Source organism: Homo sapiens, chromosome 12 (genome assembly GCF_000001405.40).
Source record: "Homo sapiens chromosome 12, GRCh38.p14 Primary Assembly".
NCBI classification, from domain to species: Eukaryota; Metazoa; Chordata; class Mammalia; order Primates; family Hominidae; genus Homo; species Homo sapiens.
Window position 1 is genome coordinate 89,295,882 of NC_000012.12, and position 25,462 is coordinate 89,321,343.

The 25,462-nt window shown below is 37.8% G+C and overlaps 1 pseudogene, besides 1 other annotated feature; it reads left to right on the forward strand.

Moving 5' to 3' along the window:
- Positions 7,840 to 8,042: a silencer, noted in NCBI's record as "fragment chr12:89697498-89697700 (GRCh37/hg19 assembly coordinates)". NCBI's record gives its function as "represses an EF-1alpha promoter that drives an FKBP-Casp9 reporter gene in an ReSE screen in phorbol 12-myristate 13-acetate-treated (for megakaryocytic differentiation) K562 erythroleukemia cells {active_cell/tissue: K562(+PMA)}" and the evidence as "EXISTENCE:reporter gene assay evidence [ECO:0000049][PMID:32094911]".
- MRPS6P4 (mitochondrial ribosomal protein S6 pseudogene 4) lies at positions 23,418 to 23,725 on the forward strand (annotated as a pseudogene).

Genomic DNA, 25,462 nt, shown 5'->3' on the forward strand with positions numbered 1-25,462 from the left:
ACTAAGGAGTACCAATCTAACAATAGTATAACCTTTTTAAAATTAACAAAGTCGGCCAGGCATGGTGGCTCACGCCTGTAATCCCAGCACTTTGGGAGGCCAAAGCGGGCGGATCACGAGGTCAAGAGATCAAGACCATTCTGGCCCACATGGTGAAACCCCGTCTCTACTAAAAGTACAAAAATTAGCTGGCTGTGGTGGCATGCACCTGTAGTCCCAGCTACTCGGGAGGCTGAGGGAGGAGAATCGCTTGAACCCAGGAGGCAGAGGTTGCAGTGAGCCAAGATCGTGCCACTGCACTCCAGCCTGGTGACAGAGCGAGACTCTGTACCCCCCCCCCCCAAAAAATTAACAAAATCAACATTAATATAACTATTTTGAAATTAAAAGAAATTAAATTTTTTCATGGTACAGGAAAGTCAAATGTGACAGTATTTTTCAATAATGTATCTTCAACACTAGGCTTTTCTAGCTGTATGTTTGTACGCATAAACATGTCCAGTTCATCTCTTCAACAAACACTGATCATTTTGTTGACTTTAAGTAGCTAGGATTTCAAATATCCAAGCAACTTACTTTGTAGTGCTTTTTAAAAAGTAGCAATATGAATCACTTCTCGGCCTTTTGGCTAAGATCAAGTGTAAAAAGTAGCAGTATGAATAAGTTTTGAAAACTGTCACTCCTTCAAAAAGTATAGAGAATGGAGAGTAAGAAATCAAAAGTCAGAAGTCAGGAACACAGGGAAATTTTTATTCTAGTAATAGTGTAATGAGGACAAGTTCTAAGGCATAAAAAGTTCTACTTGAAGACAATGAAGAATAAACACGGTAGTGAAGAAGGACCAAGATCCAGGAAAAGGCAGAAATCCAGAAAGAATAACGTTGCATTCAGGGCTACACTTCTTCTGGAGATTTGTGCCAATTCTGGAGAAAGTGGATGTGAAGCTGAGCAACTGAGCTGGGATGATTTTGACAATCTGCCAGAGCAAGAAGGACAAAGTCTGGGACCAGAGTCCACCAAGGAGAAGAAACCAGGTGAACCTTCATTGCTTTCTATCAGGACCCCAAAAGATGACACCTTAAGGATGAGCCAGAAATCGACAGGCCTTTTAAGGATTACAACTCCCTTTAGCATCATCTCCAGATGGCAAGCATATTCAGAAGCCTGGCAGAAGCAAATATTAATTATCTTTGAAATAAGGTAATATCATATTAGGCCTCCAATTATTTCTACAAACAATTGTGTACAACGTCCTAAATAAAACAAAATATGACCAGGTACAAGACAATATAAAATAACAAATTAAATACAGTTTACAGAAGGCTGAGGCAGGAGAATGGCGTGAACCCGGGAGGCGGAGCTTGCAGTGAGCTGAGATCACACCACTGCACTCCATCCTGGGCGACAGAGCAAGACTCTGTCTCAAAAAAGAAAAAAAAAGTTTAAAATCATAGAGAATAGAATTCAAGTAACAGTGACTTTAAGATATTAGACTTATCACATGCAGAGTTTTTTTAAAAAATAACAATATTTACTATATTAGAGGAGATAAAAACCCAAGTTTGAGAATTTTGGGAGAAAACTTGAAACTATTAACAAAGGGCCGCGTAGAAGCTCTAAAAACTCAATTGAAAATACAACAATTGAACTTAAGAATGCAATGGTTGAGTTTAATAACAGATTAGATGAGGTGAAGAGAAAATTAATAAACTGAGGGTTAGATCAAAAGAAATAGTCAGAATACAACAAGATATAGAAGTACGGAAAGACAGATCTGATGCAGTGAGAAATTCTAACATACATAATAAGATTCATGAAAGAGATAAAAAACAGTTGGATCCCAGCACTTTGGGTAGCCGAGGCAGGTGGATCACTTGAAGTTGGGAGTTTGAGACCAGCCTAGCCAACCTGGTGAAACCCCATCTCTATTAAAAATACAAAACTTAGCTGGGCATGATGGCGCATGTCTGTAATCCCAGCTACTCAGGAGGCTGAGGCAGGAGAATTGCTTGAACCCAGGAGGCGGAGGTTGCAGTGAGCTGAGATTGTGCCACCACACTCCAGCCTGGGCAACAGAGTGAGACTGTCTCAAAAAAACAAACAAACAAAAAAAGACACTTGGGATGGAAGCAGTATTTGGAGGATAATGGCTGAAAACACCAACCCCAAAATTCAAGAATTTCCACTTAATGGTGCAATAATTAAAACTTTCCCTTTGAGACTAGGTGTAAGATAAGACAATGATGCCTCTTGTCGTTACTTTTATCAACATTGAATTAAATTTTCTAGCCAATAAAAATTAGTAAAACTTAAAGAAAAGGGAAGAAATGTAGCTGTCATTATTCTCAGGCAATACAATTAAGGAAATAGAAAATCCTGAAGAATCTATGGTTAAATTATTAAAATTAATAGGTAAGATTAGAATCGTTACTGAGTACAAAGTCAAAATACAACAGTTCAATGCATTGCTACACACCAACAATAGTTAAAATAAATTACAACTCTTAGAACAGCTAGAACTAACAAATTCAGTAAATTTGCAGGATACAAAATCAACATATAAAAATTAGTAGCATTTCTGTACATCAATAATGAACTATTTGAAAAAGAAATCAAGAAAGCAATTACAATAATTATAGTAGATGAAAAAAATGCCTAGGAATAGTTTAACCAGGAGGAAAAAAAAAACCTCTACAGTGATAACTATAACATTGATGAAAGAAATTGGAGAGGATAGAAACAAATGGAAAGATATTCTATGTTCATGGATTGGAAGGATTAATGTTGTTAAAACGTCCATACTACCCAAAATGATGTACAGACTCAATGCAATCCCTATGCTAATGCTGACAATCTTCACAAAAACAGAAACCATCCCAAAACTTAAATGGAACCACGAAAGATCTTAAATAGTAAAAGCAACCTTAAGCAAAAGGAACAAAGCTGGAAGTATCATGCTATTTGACTTCAAAATATACTGCAAAGCTGTAGTAACCAAGACAGCATAATACTGGTATGAAAACAGGCACATAGACCAAAGGAACAGAATAGCGAACACTTATATAAATCAACACATTTACAACCAACTCTTTTTCATCAAAGGTACCAAGAACATGTAATGGGGAAAGGACAGTCTCTTCAATAAATAATGCTGAAGAAATTGGATAACCATATGCAGAAGAATGAAACTAGACACCTGTCTCTCACCATACACCAAAATCAAACTCAAAATGGATTAAAGACTTAAATGTGATAGCTAACCCTAGAAAACTACCAGAACAAAGCATAGGGGAAACATTTTATGACATTGGTTTAGATGAGAATTTTTAAAGTAAGAACTCAAAAGCACAGGCAACAAAAATAAAAACAGATAGATGGGATTACACCTCACTAAAAAGCTGCACAGCAAAAGAAATAATCAACAGAGTGAAGAAACAACCTACAGAAAAGGGAAAGTATATGCAAGCCATGCATCTGACAACGGGTTAATTTCCAGAATATACATGGAACTCAAACAACTCAGTAGCAAAAAAAGCAAACAATCAAATTTAAAAATGGGCAAAGCATTTGAATAGACATTTCTCAAAAGAAGACACAGAAAAGGAAAAGCACATGAAAAAATGTTCAACAACATTAATTACCAGGGAAATGCAAATCAAAACCACAATGAGATAACAGCTCACTCTAACTAAAATAGCTAATATCAAAAGGACAAAAAATAACAAATGCTGGTATGGATGTGGATAAAAGGAAACCATTATACATTGTTAGTGATTATGTAATTTGTTACAGCATTATGGAAAACAGTATGAAATTTCCTCAAAAACTTAAAAATAGAAATACCATATGATCTGGCAATTCCACTCCTGGGTATTTTTCCAAAGGAAATAAATGTTATAATAAATGTTATAAGATAAATGTTATAAAATAAATGTTAAAGAGACGTCTTCACTCCCATGTCTTTTTGCAGCACTATTCACAATAACCACAAAACAGAATCAACCTACGTGTCCATCGATGAAGAATGGGTAAAGAAAATGTGGTATAGAAACACAAAAGAATACTGGACATCCATTTAAAACAGTGAAATCCTATCATTTGCAGCAGCATGGGTGAACCTGGAGGACATTATGTTAAGTGAAATAAGCCAAGCACAGAAAGACAAACACCACATGATCTCACTCATTTCTCTAAAAAAGCTCATATCAAAGAAGCACAGAGTAGATTAGTGGTGACCAGAGGGCGGGGAGGGTGGGAGAGAGGGGGATGGAAAGAGGTTGGTCAATGGGTACAAAGTTACAGTTAGATAGGAATAATAAATCCCGGTGTTGTGTTGCACTGTAGGGTGGCTATAGCTAACAGTATTGTATTGTGTATTTCAAAGGAACTAAAAGAGAAGATTTTGAATGTTCTCACCACAAAAAAAAATAAATGTTTGAGGTTATGACTATGCTAAATACCCTGATTTGATCACCACACAATGTATACATGTATTAAAACATCACACTGTACCCCATAAATATGTACAATTATGTGTCAATTAAAAATAAATAAAAATTTAAGATTCCATTTAATTAACACTGTTTAACTTCAAAATAAAGTTGTAAATCTAACAAAATATCTAAAAAATCTCTCCACAGAAATTAACATACAGGAGATCTATATAAATGAAAGGAGAAATCATGTTCATGGATTGAGAAACTCAATGTTATAAATTTATTAATGTTCCCCAAATTAATCTATATAGTCAGTAAAATCCCAATCAAAATTTCATCAGGTTCTTTGCTGAAAATGACAGCTCATCCTACAATATATATGGCAATTCAAAAGACCAAGAAAAGCTAAGAAACTCAAAGAAGACAAGACTCTGCTAGATATCAAGACATTATAAAGCAATAGCAAGTAATGCAGGGTTGTGTTGGTAAACAGATATTGACCAATGAAACAGAATAAAGAGCCCAGAAAGAGATCCATGCATTCATGGACAATAGTGGCACTGCAGAATAACAGGAGAAAAGATGATCTGTTCATCAAATAGTGTCGTGCCAATTAGATATCCATATGAAAAAAATGAAACCTTGTTCCTTTCACTATGCATAAAAACAAATTATAGGTGGGTTATAGATATAAGTATAAAAATCAAATGATAAAGATTATTAGAAGGTAATATAAAATAATACATTTATTACCTCAAGATAAGGAAAAAATACTTGAATAGAAGACACAATAGGCACTATTCATAAAGAAAAAATTGATAAATTAGACTAAATTAAAATTAGTAACTTCTGCTCATCAAAAGGTATACTAATTAATAGAGCAAAAAAGTAAGCCAGCGTAGGAGATTTTTGTAAAACATATTTGACAAAGAGCATATTTCCAGAAATTATTATTTCTACAAATAATAAGAAAAAAACAAGAAGTCCAAGAGAATGGGCAAAATAGTTAAACAGAAATTATACTAGAGAAGATATGCAAATTATCGTAAACATAAGTTTCTCAACCATATTAATAATTGTGAAACTGCAATTTAAAGTCACAATAAGATAACACAACATACCTACCAGAGTGAGAAAAATTTTAAAGATTGACAGTACAAAATGCTGTCAATAATGTGGATGTACGCATTGCTGGTAGAAATGTAAATTGACATAGTATAACCACTTTGGAAAGCAGCCTAGCATTATCTAATAAAGCTGACAATATGTTACTATATGTTACTCTCTGAACTAGGAATTTCATTCTTACACATAACGAATAGAAATGGATGCATATGTGCATCAAAAATTCGTACAATAAATCTGTGGTAACATTATTCCTGAGATCAAAAAATAAAAACAACTATAAATTCTATCAACAGTAAAATGGGTAAATAATTTGAGGCATAGTCACAGAATGCAATATGCAATACTATTCAGCAATGAATATAGATGAACTACATATAACCATATAGAACAGCGTAGATGAATCTCCCAAATGTAAGCTAAGCATAAGAAATATGTTTCCAAAAAATACATACTCAATGATTCCATTTATAGAAGTTTAAAAACAGGCACAACTAAACTACAAGGATCCATGTTTGGTGATAAAACTATAAAGAAAAACAAAGACATGATTATCATAAGAGCCTGTATAGCCATTATTTTTTAGAGGAAGGGAAGAGCCAGTGATCAGAGGGGTATAAAAGGCATCTATAATGATGCTAATACTCTATTTCTTGGGTAATGATTATACCTGTGTTTTCTTTGTGATAAATTATTGAGCTACATATATATTTTTTTTGTGCATGTCTTTGTGTGTGTTACATTTCTCAGTAAAGAAGCATTAATAATTCCAATTAAAACAATTTAAATAATTAAGTTTTCTGCCCAAAAAAATCTTAATGCATAAGTAGTACCATCAACTCTAACTGGGAAGTGGGAAAATCTCAACAACCAGATTTGTCTGTCATGCTATGCAAAGATCCTTTCTATTCTTTAAAACCATGAAAATAGTGATTCATTTAAAACAATGCTTGGGCTGGGCACAGTGGCTCATGTCTATAATCCCAAAGCTTTGGGAGGTCAGAGCAGGGGGATTCATTGAGACCAGAAGCTCAAGTTTAGCCTGGACAACATAGTGAGACCCTGCCTCTAAAAAAAAGAAACTTTTTTTTTTAATTAGCAAGATGTGGTGGCACACACCTGTAATCCCAGCTTCTCAGGCAGCTGAGGCAAGAGAATCACTTGAACCAAGAAGTTCTGGGAGTGAGTTATGATAGTGCCACTGCACTTCAGCCTGGGAGACCATCTCTAACATCAATCAATAAATCAATCAATCAATTATTTAATATATATTTTAACAAGTAAATCAAAAATACAAATAAATAAGAAATTAAGCACATTTAATAAAAGGAAAAGTAGGTCAAATTATATATATGTGTGTGTGTGTGTGTGCGTGTGTGTGTGTGTGTGTATATATATATATATATATATATATATATATATATATATATATATATTTTTTTTTTTTTTTTAAGAAAAAAAGGTCGGCCGGGCGCAATAGCTCATGCTTGTAATCCCAGCACTTTGGGAGGCCAAGGTGGGCGGATCCTGAGGTCAGGAGTTCGAGACCAGCCTGGCCAACACAGTGAAACCCCATCTCTACTAAAAATACAAAAATTAGCTGGGCGTGGTGGCAGGCACCTGTAATCCCAGCTACTTGGGAGGCTGAGGCAGGAGTATCTCTGGAACCCGGGGGGCAAAGGTTGCAGTGAGCCAAGATTGCGCCACTGTACTCCAGCCTGGGCAGAGCTAGACTCCATTCAAAAAAAAAAAAGAAAAGAAAAAAAGGTCAGTATCTTCTCTACCACTTACAACTCCTAGCTGGGACACAACTGCAAATATTGGCTAACAATCCAGTACAGACTTACTTAGTCTCAGGCACTTTGAGGAGTGAAGAAATGGTCGAAAGTTAATCCTTCTCTGCCAAAAGCTTTACAGCATATTTGTAGAGACAGGACAACTGCAGATGCAATAAGTTGTAAAACAGTGTAAGTCTCAGTTATTAATTTGGCCATTTGTTCATGCAACAAAGGAATACCGGTTTCCTGCCTGCCATGAATCAAGCATTTTTTTCGGAGGCAGTAAGAAACATAAATATGGACAAGAGCAAATCCTCACCTAATATTAGATCAGAAGGGCTCAGAGAAGAGAAACAGACAATAAGGCTTAAAGGAGATGGAGTGCTTCATCAAGAATGTAGGAACTAGCAGGGGCGCGGTGGCTCACGCCTGTAATCCCAGCACTTTGGGAGGCTGAGGCAGGCAGATCACCTGAGGTGAGGAGTTCAAGACCAGCCTAACCAACATGGAGAAACTCCATCTCTACTAAAAAGCTATAAAATTAGCCGGGCATGGTGGCACATGCCTGTAATCCCAGCTACTCGGGAGGCTGAGCCAGGAGAATCACTTGAACCCAGGAGGTGGAGGTTGTGGTGAGCCGAGATCACGCCATTGCACTCCAGCCTGGGCAACAACAGTGAAACTCTGACTCAAAAAAAAAAAAAAAAAAAAAAGAAAGTAGGAACTGAGCTAGGCCTTCACTGGTGATAGAATTTGGATAGAGTCAAGGCGAAAAAGGGAATGGATATGTTGTGTTCACATATTCAATTGCAATAAACCAAAAGTTCAAAGGGAAATTAGGAGAAATAAGGATGAATTTGTTTTTAAATTTAAAAGCCTTAGCAGAGAAGTCTAGAATTTAGGCAGTAGAGCAATGGGGGTGAATTGTGAGCTTTTTACACATGAGCGATGTCAAGGCATACCCATAATTACCTTTACTCTCCATTTCCTAGAGTTGACAAGTATTCATTGTGTATCTATTTTCAGTGGATGGGCATGGTGGTTAGGAGCAAGTATTCCGGAGCCAGGCCACCTGGGTTAGAACCCACCTCCACCCCTTACTAACTGTGAACTGGGCACTTTCTTCTTGTGGAAAATGGAATAATAATAGTATTGCCTTATAGATAGTTTTTGAAAGCTAAATGAATTAATCCACATAATGCAATCAGACCAATGCCCAACACAAAATGAATACTATATAATTCAGCTATAGTAATAGTAATAATTAAGTGTTTCATATCCAACATTACCCTAAACACTATAGTAGATGCATTTTTCTTAAAAATCCCTACCCTCAAAGACTTTATAATTTACTTACCATGTATGGGGGTTGGGGAAGCGGCTACTTAATTATATGCCGAAGAAAAAAAACACTATGAGGAAATGTTCCAATATATTGCTAAAAGAAAAAGAATAAAAGGAAACTGTAATACAGAACAAAAAGTCTACTCCCAAATACTGTATCTGTGAAAATAGATGTGATTCCCAAAATTGTAGAAAATACAAGCAACTATCTCTGGGTAGTGGGATTATGAGTGATCTTAAGAAGCTTTATTGGATTATAAACTTGTATGAGATGATGTAGGTATAATGGAATTCATGAGTTTGGGGATCAGACAGAAGTGGGTAGCTATACCTGCTACACCTTTTGTCTTGAAACCTTGAGAGTGTTTTTATTCCTTTTTTTTTAAACATTCTCTGCCTGTTTCTTCATTTATAAAATGAGAGAGTACCTAGCACACAGCACACAAGAGATGCTTTATACACTATGGTTATTTCTGGAGGGCACACTAATTCCCTCATAGCATTCATTCATAGCATCCATCCATCGCCAGTTACACACACCAAAAGCCCCCATCCATACCATTGGCTATGAACTTAACAAATACTAAAATATGATCACATTGGTCTCAGATATTTTTTAATGCTCAGTCATATCGTTTCTCGGCCTTTTGGCTAAGATCAAGTGTAAATGCTCCGTCGTGTTCAAGGTGGTAGAAAAGTGTGTTTTTCTTTATTTATTTGTCGAGAATTCATGTTAAATACCTGAATTTGATGTGCTTGGTGCTGGATGAGAGACTTAGTAGATATCTTGCTTGTCACAAAGTATGAAATTAATATTCATTTTTCATGAATTAATTTACTCATTCATTTAACAACTATTCATGAATTGTGTTCACTATGCTAAGCAATGAGTATGAAATGAGTTTATTCCCAACCCATTTCTTCTAGCCTCTTGCAGAAACTACATTTGGTTCCGCTTGTGGTTTCAAAAGGAGACCTAAAATTATATTTACCTTTGACTATAAATAGCTCTGGAATAAGCACAAGTCAAATAAATTCCCACTGATTAAATCCTAGCAGCTCCTCTGTGACATTTCAATCTTTTCATGCTGTTTTTGAGCTATTTGAGTTGAGGTATTTGGGGTTTGCTTATTTTAAAAGCCAAGATCAGACACTGTCTCATGTTTTGTCACACTCACAGGCAGCAATGGAAGTTAAAGAAAAGCTTTAATTTAATACAAAAGCCATATTTTAAAAATAGTCAATGCAGAACTCAAGTGAGATAATATAGTCTCTTTTTCTTCATAGCAGGTTTTCAGATAATATCTATTTCTGAAACCCATGCAAAAATAGAAAGATTTAAGAAATGTTACCTAACAAAAATTTTGTCACCCACTTATTCTTCGCAGAATTACAACAGCAAAAACTGTAAAACAATCGAAACAATAAGATATATTATGTAGGAAATGTAATAATAGAAGACTGGTCAAATAAACTATTTCATTTGCACAAGGCATAATGCTATACAGCCATTGAAAATATTACAGCTGAATATTTAAAGACATGGAAAGTTCTATAAGATAAATTGGTACATAAAAATCAGTTTTTACGGGACATTTCAACCCCACCATTCCACCATTTTGACCCCATCATTTTTGTTTCTGAGGAAATTTTGACCCTGAGGATGTTTATAATATACTTTAATCAGAATTAGGCCAGCTCTTTTTTTCTTTAATTTATTGTAATACTATAATTTCATTCATCAATAAGGTTTTGTCTATTCAACTTTTATTATTTTCTATCCTTGCGAGTTTTCTTTTGTGGTTATTATTTCCACCACATTCAATACTACTGGGTAAGATTTTTCAGGTACAAGTGTTGTCAAGATCTCATCCTTCAATTAATTTTTAATCTATAACAAATTTTATGATGTGCAATTTAAGACATTGTCAGTTTTATTCCATGGAGGTTATTTGTGCCAATAATGCTTGAAGCAAATATTATATTTATTTCTTAGTTAATGCATGTGAAAATCATAAACAATTTAATAGAGAGAAGGAACAGGGAAAAGGTCAAAGGAGGGAAAGAATGAATAGAAAAGAGGAAAAGGCAAGAGAGAATGAGGAAAAGAGAAGAGACGATGAAACGCACAAAGAAAGAGACAAGTGAACACATCTGAATAGTCAAAACAGGATCAAAATGGTGGGGTAGGAGAGTACTAAAATATAGCTTAATAATGCTATCTGTTCAAGCTTAATCAAGCTAATGCTTTCCTTTGACAAAATGAATTCCTGAAAGACTCCTTTGGAACATTTTTGTATTTCTTACTTTCAGTCTCCCTATATACTGATCTTCATCAGAGAAAAAATGAATTTGCTGCAGCAATGAAAGACCTTTCTACATGACCATTGAATAATCGGTTAAATTACGTAACATTTCATATTCTTTACTCCACATGCTGACTAGTTAGCCTGAGGTTGTTCAACATAACAGAGTATTTTTACATCAACCTGCCTGGGGTAAGCAGAGGTTCTGTAGGATATGCAACATCCTGTCTCTCAATGTAAAATACAGAAATTTCCATGAGATCAAAGACAAAGCTAAGATCAAGATAATGAGTAAATCAAATGCTAGACGTTGGTCTGCAGGTAATGGTCAAGGGCATGGGGGTGAATGCAAGGGTAAGGAAGTAGAGCAGATGAGAACAGGGGTGGTATCCCCAATGGATGTGTTTACTTCTCTGAGCCACACTGTGAACCAGGCCAGGATCTAAATTGTTCTCCTTTTGTCCCCAGCCCGCATGTATGTAACTTTACTTCCCCAAATTGTTACTTAGACCAATAGTGTTCAAATATCTCAGCCCTTTTTTAAAAACGTGGATTCAAAACCTTATGCAAAAGCCTACATTTTTAAATCAGAAAAAGCTGCTGTTCTATAGCTATACTGGGGAACAAATGAGCCAGATTAAGGAGGCAGGGAATCCCATACACTTCCAGATTCCCTGTTCCTCCCCCCTCCAAACACCCCACAGTGACCTCAAAAGGAGCCCACAGAAGCCGCTTTGAACACCACTGGCTTAGATTTTATGTGCTATATTCTAGAATCTCTGAAGATAAATTTTACAAGTAGCCTTGAAAGGATAAAGATGCCACTGCTTTTGCTTTTTGCTTTTTGTTTTTTTAACAGAGCCTCCAAAGTTCAACCAGCCCATTACTTTTTTAGGGTTTGTTTTATTGTTCATTTAATGAAGAGAAGCAGATGTTAAATAAATAAACAAGAAAAGAACTGGATAGAATATCTTTACATGCCCCTTACGTATGTAAAGATAATGTAATATGATAGCCAAAGTCCAGGTGACTACTTTAGATTGATTAGTCAGAGAAGGTACTTCTAAGAAAGCGATATTTTATTTAAACTGAGACATGAATGACTAAAAAGGGGCCAGTGCTCTGAAGATGAGAGGGAAGAACATTTCAGGTAGCAGGAATGGATACTGAAAAGGCCCCGAAGTGAAACCAAACTGGGCTTACTCGTAGAACAGAAAGTGAACCAGTATGGCGAAAGCATTCTGGTCAAAGGAGGAGAGTGAGGAGAAATGAGGCTGGAGTTGTGAACCTCACAGAGCAATGATAAATTAGACGTAGTGAGAGACGGATAAACAACGCATTATAGTACCTCCATGGGATAAATGTTTTAACAAATATCAAAAAGGACAGTTTTCTTCTGGAACACAGAGGCACCTAACCTACACCAGGAAAAGTGATGTTGACTTTGAGCCCTAAAGGATAAGAGGAGATGGACAGACAAGGCAAAATTAAAAGGCACTGTAAGGAAATGTCTAGAATAACAGATAGTGAATTGCAGCTGGAGCCTAGAGTCTGAGGCAGGAGCGGCGAGAGACGCACCTGGATACATAAGCAAGTGCCAAATGAGAGTTACCAAGAACTCAGAACAACCAAAAGTTCATCTTTCAACTGAGTAGATCAAACAACAAACACAATGGATACAGAAACAACATATAACTCAGATGTAAACAAACACTTTAGAAAAAGTGACCTTCAAGCAGATCACCTGAGGTCAAGGGTTCAAGATCAGCCTGGCCAACATGGTGAAACCCCATCTCTACTAAAAATACAAAAATTAGCTAGATGTGGTGGTGTGCGCCTATAATCCCAGCTAGTCGGGAGGCTGAGGCAGGAGACTCACTTGAACCCAGGAGGCAGAGGTTGCAGTGGGCCAAGATAGCGCCACTGCACTCCAGCCTGGGCAACAGAGTGAGACTCCGTCTGAAAAATAAAAAAAAAAGAAGAAAGGAAGGAAGGGAGGAAAACGAAGGAAGGAAGGAAGGAAGGAAGGAAGGAAGGAAGGAAGGAAGGAAGGAAAGAAGGAAGAAAGGAAGGAAGGAAGGAAGGAAGTGACCCTCAAAAGCCTAGTGTTCCAGACAGTGAGACCCTCTACCTCATTTATGTCTACTCCCGACCCCCAGAAAAAAAAAAGTTAAAAAAGTTATTCATTCTTCCCCAAGTTCAGTCACAAGATTCAGTCCTTGTCTGAAAATGTCTTACTTCGTGTTCGCTGTTACCAAGTGAATGTCAATGAATCCCCACTCTAGTAGTCTGTTCTCCAAATATTTGGGTGCCCCTCCCTGAGGGGTCTCTCTCTGAGGGAGGAATATATTTCACTGCCTGTCAAATTCAAAAGTGGTTTGCTGTCTACATCCCATGTCATGCTTTTGGTTGTGGTTGGAGTAGTTAGTCATTAGCACTGAATTGTTTGGTCATTAAAATTCAAAATGCTTCATTTCCACGGTTCTGGTGTGAAATCTGCAGGGGAGACTCCGGAGTAAGTTATGCCCCAGGTACTCACCTGAAAAAGGGTACATGGTGTGTCCTCAGCATCCCTGGCCCCATCCCTTCTGAAATGTAGACAGAAGAGATGTGTGTCACTTCCACACAGAAGCTTTTCGAGCCAGGAAGTGGTTCACCATTTTTCCTTTCCTTCTGCCACAGTGACCAAGTGTTCCAGGGAGAGACTGCTCCAGCAGGATGACTGGAAGCAGAGCAACAGCCAATCGGCAAAGGATGTGGTGGAGAAGATCTGTCAGTCTCTAAGTCACTAAGATTTGGGAGCCACTTGTTGCTGTAGCATAAACTAAACTAGCCTGTCCTGACTAATATATCCACAAACACAGAATTCCAGGACAGAAAGGATGGGGCCAGGGATGCTGCGGACACACCATGTACCTGGAACCCTTTTTCAGGTGAGTACCTGGGGCATACCTCACTCCGGAATCTCCCCCACAAATTTCACACCACAACCATGGAAATGAAGCCCACTGAATTTTACATTTTCATTCTTTCCTGCTCGTGACCAAACACTTCTGTACTAATGACTAACTACTCCAACCAAAAAAAAAAAAAAAAAGTGTGACATGGGATGTAGGCAGCTTGTCTGTGCTCCGTTTTCACAGCCCACAGCTATAAATAATACCATTAGGAAAGCACACATTGCCTTAGATGGAAGGCACAAAGAAAAGCACTTTCTCTGATAGTTTAGCAACACATTCAGATTTCATGTTTCAAGGTAAAAATAGGCCTAACAAATGAATTAAATTTGGAAGCTGAGCTGAAGTGAAGAACACTGGCATTATAAAGCACGCCATAGGAGGAAAGAGAGACTTATAAGGCTCTGTATTCTCTCTGCTGGTGGGCAGGATAGAAGGGTGGAAAAAAAGATTTTCCTGAGAAACAAAAATAATCAGCAAGAGTCTGAAATTAAAAATATCATCCTTATTAAATTGGTAACCAAAAGAAACTCTGAAAATCATGTGAAGGATAAAACAAGTCTCAACACAAAGGTTTTTTTCTACTGTGTACTTTCAACATCGGGGGGAGAAGATACAAGGACAATAGATGTCAAAGAAGGTTTGCAAATACATCATAAACTTCCAATTCAATAACTCATGTTTTGATTGGTTAGAATTTTTTTGTTTCAATAAAACCCATTCATTTCTATTATGAAGTTTTCAGTGCTATTTTTTCATGGTTCTAGTACCTAAGCAAAGGAAATGTGAGAAGATGCTATCTTTGCCAAAAGATTTTTTTTTTAACCATCAACCAGCTGGGCACATGGCCCGTGCCTATAATCCCAGACTTGGGTAGACCAAGGTGGGAAGAAGGATCACTTGAGCCCACGAGTTTTAGACCAGCCGTGCAATGTATTGGGATCCTGTCTCTACCAAAAAAAAAAAAAAATAAATTAATTAATTAATTAATTAGCCAGGCATGGTGGCAAACGCCTGTAGTCCCAACTGCTCAGGAGGCTGAGACGGGAGGATGGCTGGAGCCCAGGAGGTCAAGGCTACAGTGAGCTGTGATCATGCCCCTGCACTCCAGCCTGGTTGACAGAGCAAGATCAAGCCTGGAAAAAAAAAAAAAAAAGTCATCAACCCATCAACCTTTGTTTTTTTCTTTTTTTCTTTTTTTTTTTTTTTTTTTTTGAGACAGAGTCTTTCTCTTTCGCCCAGGCCGCACTGCAGTGTCGCTATCTCAGCTCACTGCAAGCTCCGCCTCCCAGGATCATGCCATTCGCCTGCCTCAGCCTCCCGAGTAGCTGGGACTACAGGTGCCCGCCACTGCGACCTGCTAATTTTTTGTACTTTTGGTAGAGATGGTGTTTCACCATGTTAGCCAGGATGGTCTCGATCTCCTGACCTCGTGATCCGCCCGCCTCAGCTTCCCAAAGTGCTGGGATTAGAGGCATGAGCCACCACACCCAGCCCCTTTGTTTTTTTTCTTAATGCTATAGTCTAAGGAAAGGAATTTCTCTACCCTATACCATATGAGAACTTAAAAATATACTAAATTGTCTTCTTATATCAAAATATATGCTATTTATGTCAAAATATAAATGTATTTAACACTGAATTGTCAGCTTCTTGAAAGTAAGAATCATTTTTTGCTCCTTTACATCCATCTCAGGACCTACGTAGTACAGTACTAATACCCAATAGGTGCTCCATACATATTTTTCAATCAAATAAAGTCACTTTCTCTATCAGCCCCACTTTGCTTTAAGTGGCCTACTATCAATAAAGTGTACACCATGTTGATGGAAATTGGTGTAACTTTTATGCCAGGAAAAGATCAGTAGACAATAACAGCACATCCTAACTCTATGTCTAAATCTATAGGCCTGAAATATTCCCTAAACTGCACCACTGGCATCATCAGCGAGTGAGAATAACTCAGTTTAATTACTTCACTGAACAGCTGAAAAACTGCCTGAATATGCCAAAAGTCCCATGGCCATGGTGATTTGCCCAGATCTCAGTTGTCCAAGCCCAGCCCTTAAATACAGGTGATGCTTTTCCCAGCGATCCAAATGGTTTGGGCATGCAGCTGAGATAACTCACAGTCATAATCACGAGAAAGCAGAGGACTTCTGTGTTCATTGTAGACACAGGCCTGTAAAAACTTATTCCTGGATCTCTGGGCAATTCTTCTGGCCACCTCCTCCAAGCATAGGAGATCTAAGTAACCTGTCATCCCATGCAGTCAACAATGGTTGTGCAAGTTCTCAATCACAATGCAAGGTATTCTTGATTAATTTGTGAATAGTTTGCTTCTGCCGCTTCAAGACCAACTAGCATGTTGTAGCATGTTGGGACAAGGCACAGTTTTAATATCATAAACTGAAATGTGAGTTGCAAGAAACCTTATGTTTTACATTTATTAAATTATTAGCAGAGATTTCCAGAAGACTGAAAACCCCAACTCCAGCAATGGTGTTTTCCAGTTTAACAACAGAACCTAAATTAAGATAAAATAATGCAGACTAGGCCTGCCACAGTGGCTCACACCTGTAATCCCAGCACTTCGGGAGGCTGAGGCAGGTGGATCACCTGAGGTCAGGAGTTCGAGACCAGCCTGGCCAACATGGTGAAACCCCATCTCTACTAAATATACAAAAAATTAGCTGGGTGTGGTGGCGTGCGCCTGTAATCCCAGCTACTTAGGAGGCTGAGGCAGGAGAATCACTTGAACCTGGGAGGTGGAGGTTGCAGTGAGCTGAGATCATGCCATTGCACTCCAGCCTGGGTGACAAGAACAAGACCCTGTCTCAAATAATAATAATAATAATAATGCATACTAGGGCTAAAAGATCTTGTTTGTTTTTTCAAAATGAACAGACCATGAACTATATCATTTTTGCCTGGGGTTTAGTAACTTCAAGATCATTTATGCAAAGACTTAAAGCAAAATTGGAAATTCCAGATTTATCTTTCATACTGAACAGATTCAGCAAATACTAATAATGCTCACCGTGTGTCAAGTACTGGGTCAGGGCCAGGCGCAGTGGCTCACTCCTATAATCCCAGCATTTTGGGAGGCCGAGGCGGGCAGATCACCTGAGGTCAGGAGTTTGAGACCAGCCTGGCCAACATGGTGAAACCATGTCTCTGCTAAAAATACACAAATTAGCAGGGCGTGGTGGTGCGTGCCTGTAGTCCCAGTTACTTGGGAGGCTGAGACAGGAGAATCGCTTGAACCCGGGAGGTGGAGGTTGCAGTGAGCCAAGATCACGCCACTGCACTCCAGCCTGGGCAACAGAGAAAGACTCTGTCTTAAAAAAAAAAAAAATGTGCTGGTCAGGCACCAAAATAAAATTATGAACATATGAACAAGGTGTTATTAAAAGTTTGTAGCACTTGTTAAATGTTGCATACATTTATCTTGCATTGCCTTCACAATCAGGATAGTACCTGTCCAACCCCAGAAAACATGCTCTCCAATTTTCAAGCTCAAAAAAATTTTTAAATAAAGACATAACTCAGAGTTAACCTCAATGAATGTGGTTGCTTAGGCATCTATAGTAATATCATTGACAATCAGCCATTGTTGATAAGCCTATGCAAGGTCAAATTCTGCAGAGATCTTGAATCTGGAAGGAAGAGTAGAAAGCAAGTTGACTGCAGAATCTGGATGTGGATTCATTCATCCATTTATTTTTTATAAATTTATTTATTCAACAGATATTTGGTGAGTCCCCGGTATGAGCATATCCCTTGCTAGGCATTGGAATACCATGGTGAATAAAATTATAAATCTTCCTCTATTTGCATTTATATTTTAGTGGGAGTGACATAATATAAACAGGCAGGCAAATTAAAAATATATAATTTCAGTAAGACTAAGTGTTACGATTAGGTAATAGAAACCAATTGATGTAGTGGGAGGCAAAATGCATGGTGAACATCTCAGGTGGACTGTATTTTGGCAGAGAAAACGGCACACACACACACATACACACACACACAATGAGGTTACATTTAGTTTCCATTTTAATTAAGCAAAATACCAAGAATATTGCTGAAGCAAGGGGCCCAAAGAAAGAAGGAATGGATCCAATATGTTTCAGCTCAACTCCCCAACCTTCCCTGACGTTTCCAAAGAGATGTTACAACCACCAGTGATACTATTCATGGTATTTTTTGCAGAGCAAATTCAGGGTGTAGTAAAGAATTATCAGCTTCTGAGATGAAAAATAAAATACACCAAGACAACAGCCTTGCAAGTCATATTATTACATTGAGAAAAAAATTCAGATCACTTTATTCTTTCCGTCAGCATATAAAAAATTGAGTCTGGAAGGTTTAGATCATAGAGGTCTACCATGATGTGGAAGAGAAGCCTACCCTCCTATCACAGCTAGGTCATCTCTATGGTAAACAGAGTGTCATAAAGGAAGTGAAAGAAAGTCTGTCCTTTTCTGGACATAATATTGAAGAAAAAGAGAGAGAAGAGAGGAAAAGAGACCAGTTAATTTGTGCCTCCAAATTTTCTTCATCTTGGCTTCATCTAGGAAAAAAAAATGTTAGAAAAGTGAGATACCAATGAGATCAGCTACCCCAAATTGGAAGTTTGAAAGGGGCTGCTTAGCCAAGTATCCAATCTGAGGCACAGTCACCGAAAGTAACCATAGCAGTACCCTGTGGTTAGGCAAAAAGCCTTGAGCTTCAGTGTTCCCAAGTCACACTCATTTCCCTGTTGCTTAGGTTCAGAATGAGTATAATCCAGTAGGCTAACTATGGAGCCCACCAGAGCAAAGCATAAGGACTCCACAACAGAAGCTGAGTACGACCCCTGGAACACAAGGCCAGATGGAGGACCTGCCAGAGACTCTGTGGTTGATGCCAAAACAGCTAGGGGCCACATTAGTAGCATTGCCTGAGCCAAAAGAACAGTCCACAAGTTTATATGCTACAGTCCTCAGCTCTGAAAGCCAGGAGATAACTTAGAGATCAAAAAACCAAAGGCCATGACCTTAGGGCCCAGAAGACACCATACCTAAAGACCCGCAAATCTTCTCTTTGTTTGGACTGTCCAAGCTTCAGCAATACTCACGTCCACACTCACATGGACTCAATGCTGTAGACAGGGACAAGAGGCAGTGAAAACTATCTGAGAATGAATATTTTTATTCATATGAGAGACTAAATATTACCTAAAGAGATTGTTTAAATTGTCAGATTGAACGAATTTTAAAACATACTAGCAATTTAATTAAGTTTTCCCACAAACCAGTAGGTAGGAGGTCCTAGATGAGACAGGCTCTAGACAAAATAAAGGAGCTATGTTTCTTTGCACATCTAAATTGTGCTGAGTTAAATGCTGAACCCTGCCACACAAGCTACAAGATTTGCCCAGTTTCTCTCAGACTGCCTGTAGGGCTAATGTACTGGGGTCAGAGAAAGAGCTGCTGCTAGGCATGAGTCCGAACTATGCAGAACTGAAATAATTATTTGCAGAATAGTCACTTATTCTATTAAGAATTAAATTAAGAAGTTCCTTCTAAATAGAGAAGGCAGTGACTACTTTCTGAAGCCTAGATGTTTGACAGGTGTCAAAACTTTTTTTTTCCAGGGGTTGAAAGTTAGAGGCTTGACAATGCAAGGCACATCATCCAAGAGACAACACTTTCTAGAAATATAATGGTTTCAGAGGGGTTTGTTTATGAGGAAAAAGAGGTGGGAATAATCAAAGCTCCCATAATAAGTACATCTTTCCACAAACGTGGACCTCAAATTATTTTAGTTTGTTAGTTTTAAAAGATCACAAATGAATTTAAGAAGTAAATAAGAAAAATGCTCTCAAATATCAAACCCTGGTTTGTTTTGGAGAAAGTTAAATATAATAATGAATATGAGTCAGCAATGTAAGTGTGATTTTTATGAATTCTCCTCATATTATAAAAGTTCAAATACTAAGATAAAATAAGATGAATGGACCTATTTTTAAGAAAAATATAAAAACCATACTATAAAACAATGATTTTCTAAAGCTAAAAGATTCTTCTTCCAAAGAGAAAGAGGAAAAAAAAGCCAATTCATTGAAACCATTTAAGAATATTTATTTCCATTCATGTTTTTTTCAAAGTTGTATAAAATAGGTCTCTGCTAAAATAATTGAAAGTTAGCTTGCTGACAAAAATACATCTCAGAAAGAAAAGAAAACAGTGGCATTGTCATTAGTCCTTTCCTGTTTCTGCGTAGTAAAAAATAAAAATAAAAAGCGTCTGTCTCCATTGTTCTTCTAACATCTTTTTATAATCAACTTTAATGTTTTCACATGATATTACGTTACATCTTCTTAAACGGAATAATAAATATATCTTTTACTCTGCAAATCAATCAGGTATAACCTGTGGTTTCTGCTTTCAAACTAAAGTTTTCCTTCTCAGAGCATGATTTGTTGTGAAGTAAGACACTTCAAAGGGCTTCCAGCTTAATTTTTAAGACGCCCTCTCACCCAGCAAAACTTTCCATACTTGTTAAATCTTATAACCTCCGATAACCCTTAATACTTAGAGGTGAGGAGGTGACTGATCATTCGCACTTTCCCAGAAGAGTTCCCTGCTCCTACTTGCCTGAAATAATGTTTTAATATTTAGCTTAATCTTCTTGCTCACAAATTACAAGCCTATAACCATTACCTAAGGAGTGACACCAGGAAACAAGGGTGTATTATTACTGCACCACTGCCCCTTAATATTTCCAATTTACTCCTTTCATGCTGGGGCTTTCCAAGAGACCTCACTTATTCTTAAATTCTAGGAACACAGGAGCTAAGAAAAGCTCTGTTGTGTGGCAGACAGCTCCAGATCTGGTGTTCATAGGGAAGGGGAAATCAAATGGGGCCATCCATTAATGGGTCAGTCCAGAGTCATTATGAAACCCCTGGCTTTTCAAATGACCGATGGGCCTCTTGTCCTTTCTTGGGCCCGGGCCTCTCAGACTGCAGGCTGTTTGCATTCAGTCAACACCTCAATTTTATAGGTCTGTGGAGCCAAAGATTACAAGACTTTTGAACTCCAGGCTGCCTTCTGTCTGGCTACACCCCCTGTTTCTGGAGCCCAAATCTTTTTTAACAACTCTACAAAAACAAGCAATTAGGATAAGGTCTGTTAATCCTCTCCTTTCGACCTCAAGGTAATTACGTATTCAGAACCAACCAGTGGGGAAGCAGAAAGAGCACTACCAATGCCTGCAGCTATTTAGAGAGGGATCCAAATGTGCTTCAAGGGAATGACCAGGACTGATACAGGTCCCTTAAAAAGGTTCTACTATTGTTTCATGGGAAGCTAGGTACAGGGCTAAGCTAGATTTTTAAGGAAACAAAGAAATGTAAAAATTAAAAATGAAAAGAAAAAGTCAAGGAGACTTTTTAAAAGGCTCAAAATGTACTGGAGCATTCATTGATCTGGTAACTGTCTTCCTCCACTAGGTAACGGCACATCTGGTTTCTCCAAATACAATAGCCCATACCTCTTTTTTTTTCTTAACTCACACTGTTAGTGAACTTTAGTCCATTAACAGCTATGAAATTTTGTCTAGGCAATTTATATTAAATTAAGAACACAGTCTTTTTAGTTACTCAAAATAAATGATAAATAGTACAGGAAAAATGTATAATGTTCCTTTACTTTTAAAACTGTATTTTATGTTGAATCTAAATTAGTAATATATGTGATAACAGTAATTAATAAAAATCATAATTAATAATTAGCAATATACAATCAGCAAAGGGTAGAGAAAGAAAAGGAATTTTTTTATTCTTGTCAACAAATATTTATCTATAAAATATGTCAGTGGTCATCTCTACACTAATCTGGCATCTTTTCAAACAAGTCTGTGGTTTTTCTATAAACCTTTTTTTTTTTTTTTTTGAGACAGAGTCTCGTTCTGTCACCCAGGCTGGAGTGCAGTGGCGCGATCTCGGCTCACTGCAAGCTCCGCCTCCCGGGTTCACGCCATTCTCCTGCCTCAGCCTCCTGAGTAGCTGGGACCACAGGCACCCACCACCACGCCCGGCTAATTTTTTGTATTTTTAGTAGAGACGGGATTTCACCATGTTAGCCAGGGTGGTCTCGATCTCCTGACCTCGTGATCCGCCCACCTCAGTCTCCCAATGAAAGCATTCTACTGATAGTCTTTATCTCTTTCTACTTCATATAATACTTTTATGAAACAGTTTTATATTTCCTATTGTACCGATTAGGTTTCTGAGAGCAATATCATATCTAGCTTGTCATTGTATCTGCCCAAGATGTCTCGCATATACATACATATACATATATATAATGTCTCATTAAATTGCACCAACCAACTCAATATTTCTCTAGTGAATGCCAGATACGTGGGATATTAAAACATTTTATGGGGGAAGACATTTCTATATTTAAATAAGATCGACAAGCACTAGATTTTAAAAAGAGACAATCATTTGCTTACTACAGTATTTTGTAAAGTCTTCACTATACTATACTAATGTGCATTGTGACAAAAAGTGGGATTGAACATATGATATTTCTCAAACTTATCTGACTCCTTATCTCTTTCACACTGATCATCCTGAAGAACGAATGTTACAAAGAACATATTTGGGAAAATATTACTGTATGTCATAATGCACCTCAACTATGCTAAGAACTCCAACTTGATGGGCTTTGAGGAATAAGAAGGAAGATAAGAAGGAAGTTTTCCCCTCAATTCCTAAAGTCTAAGACCAGCCCAAAGAGTAGTAGGATAAAAGTGTCCTGACCTACAATGAAAATTCCCTTCCCCCGCAAACAATTGAGATGTCCAGAGGAAAACAATCTGAGTAAATTGTGTAACATTATGTGTAAAAAGCCAATTCTGTGTCTCCAATTCCTAGAGATATTATACTTTTTAATATTTCTATTAACACTACCTTCTCAAAAATATCCCTAGATAGAAGAGAATAGATGTTAATAGTACAAATTGAAGTGTAGGGCAAATGTTTTTTAACAAAAAGTGATGGTATTTGAATGAGATCGTTATATGTCAGATCTTTGTTATAGAAAATAAAGAACACTGAGATTGTCAGAATCATTATCACCATCATTAGTTTTAATAATAGTAATTTTTATGCTATTCTCATCTGGTAAGCTTTGTTTTCATAATTTCTCTGTCATAATTAGTAATATTTCCCTAAGGCGTACTCTGTCCTGAATAGTCTTCTAAGGTTGCTCTATTCCTATTGGTTTTTGTTGCAAAACAAATCACTCCAAAACTGAATGGCATAAGCTTTTCATGACCCATGAGGCTTCAGATCCATCAATTCCAGCACGTTTATGTAGTCCTTCTAATCCTTATGACCCTTGTTCCATAAGCCTGGCCCTCCTATCCCCCAGGAGCTGCCTCAGTCCTGAGCCACGTGTGATGTGCTCAGACATGCCCTGCTTACTGTTGGCTTTGATTCTGAAAGCCTACAGCTGCCAGAGACAGCTCTGTCCCAATAGACGTGGGAGCAATAGCGAGAAACTTAGAAAATCTGGCCAAAATGAGCATTTCCTTATTAGATCTCCATCTACTGTCAACAGCATAATAGCAGATAATATTTCTTGGTGGATTTTTATGCACCAACATCTGTTGAAAGTATAATGGAATTTTTTTCTCAAGACATTGATATGATTAGACCTAATATTGTAAACCACCTACTAACCCAGGAAGTAAAAGAGTATAAAGGAATTTTCCTGGTCTCACTTGAAGAAAACTTATATCCCAAGAGGAAAATGTAAAAAAATTCAGCAGATTGCATCTTTATTCTTAGTTTTCTCTAACATGAACATCATTAATTTAGTTTACAAATTTGACCTTCATCCGTTTAGGAATGTGCCGCAGGTGCCATTTGAATTTTTGATAGTATTTTTAGCTTTTGATCCCCTCTGCAGTGAGAGGGAAGTGAAACAGCTTGCTTAGAGCTGTTCTATAAATCTGTGGTACCAGCATATCCTTTTGATTTACCTTTCATTGCTTAAATTTCTTTGCCAATGAGGACTTTTGCTTTATAACAACAGTTTCAGGAGTTTTGTCAGGCAACAATATCAATATCACCATTTTATAAAGCAAAATTTATGAAAACTGCCTTAGATTGCTAGCTAGTCATTCAGATTCTTTTAAGCATGCAAAAATAGACTTCTTAAAAATTGCAATAGATATAAGATTTGAATGGGATAGTGAATGTGGTATTTTAAACAAACATGCCAAAAAGTAGATATTAAGTGGCATACAGCACCAATGATTTATTATTTCTCTTAGTTCTGGTCTGAGTCAACTTGACACAAACCAAAGGTCTAAGATGGTCTCAGTCACATGCCTAAGACCTCAGCCAGAAACGCTGAGATGGTTGGTCTCTCTCCACATGGTTTCTTATTCTCTCTCTTTTTTTTTTTTTGCCGAGATGGAGTTTCACTCTTGTTGCCCAGGCTGGAGTGCAATGGTCTCCGCTCACAGCAACCTCCGCCTCCCAGGTTCAAGCCATTCTCCTGCCTCAGGCTCCGGAGTAGATGGGACTACAGGCATGCACCACCACACCTGGCTAATTTTGTATTTTTAGTAGAGACGGGGTTTCTCCATGTTGGTCAGGCTGGTCTCGAACTCCGGACCTCAGGTGATCTGCCCACCTCAGCCTCCCAAAGTGCTGGGATTACAGGCGTGAGCCACCGCGCCTGGCGGTTTCTTATTCTCTAATAAGTCAGTTTAGTTTGCTTCAAAAGGTGGTCTCCAGGTTCCCAGCAGCAAGGAAGCAAACCTGAATGTGCAAGTACTTCTCAAATATCTTCTGCGTCATGGTTGCTAATGTCTCATGGGGCAAAAAATAAGCCACATGGTCAAATCCATATACAAGGAGTAGAGAAATAAACTCCTCTGTTTGGTGGAGAAGTGGCAAGTCACATGGCAAAGGGGCATTTGGATAGGGATGGAAGGAATGGTCATAGCCTTCTTTGCAAAACATCTACTTAGCTACTGCTGTGGCCACAGTAAAAACTGAGATGAGCATTCCCAGCTGAGCTCAGCACAGATTGCTGACTCACACAATTGTGAGCAAATCAATGATGGCCATGTAGGCCACTAACTTTTGGGGCCCTTTTTTCTACTGCCAAAGCTAACTGAAACAATTTCTGAACCCATATGGTAGGTAAAAGTTCCAAAATTTTCTCAGTTTCCTTTTTCAAACTCATCTTTTTTTTAATGCTGATGAATTTTAAATTAGAGACATCACGTGACTTTCCCCACAATTTCCAATAGGCAAGATGGAAAACAAAGGGTGGTTCCCACATGGAAACCAAGTATAAATTAGAAACTCTACTTGAAAACTGGGGCATGCCTCTCTTGCCCCCATCCACACCCTACTCACCAATGAAGAGAAGGAAGAGAGTTTTTATGGAACAATCACAAAAACAAAACACATGTTTGGCTTAGAAATTTTGTAGGAG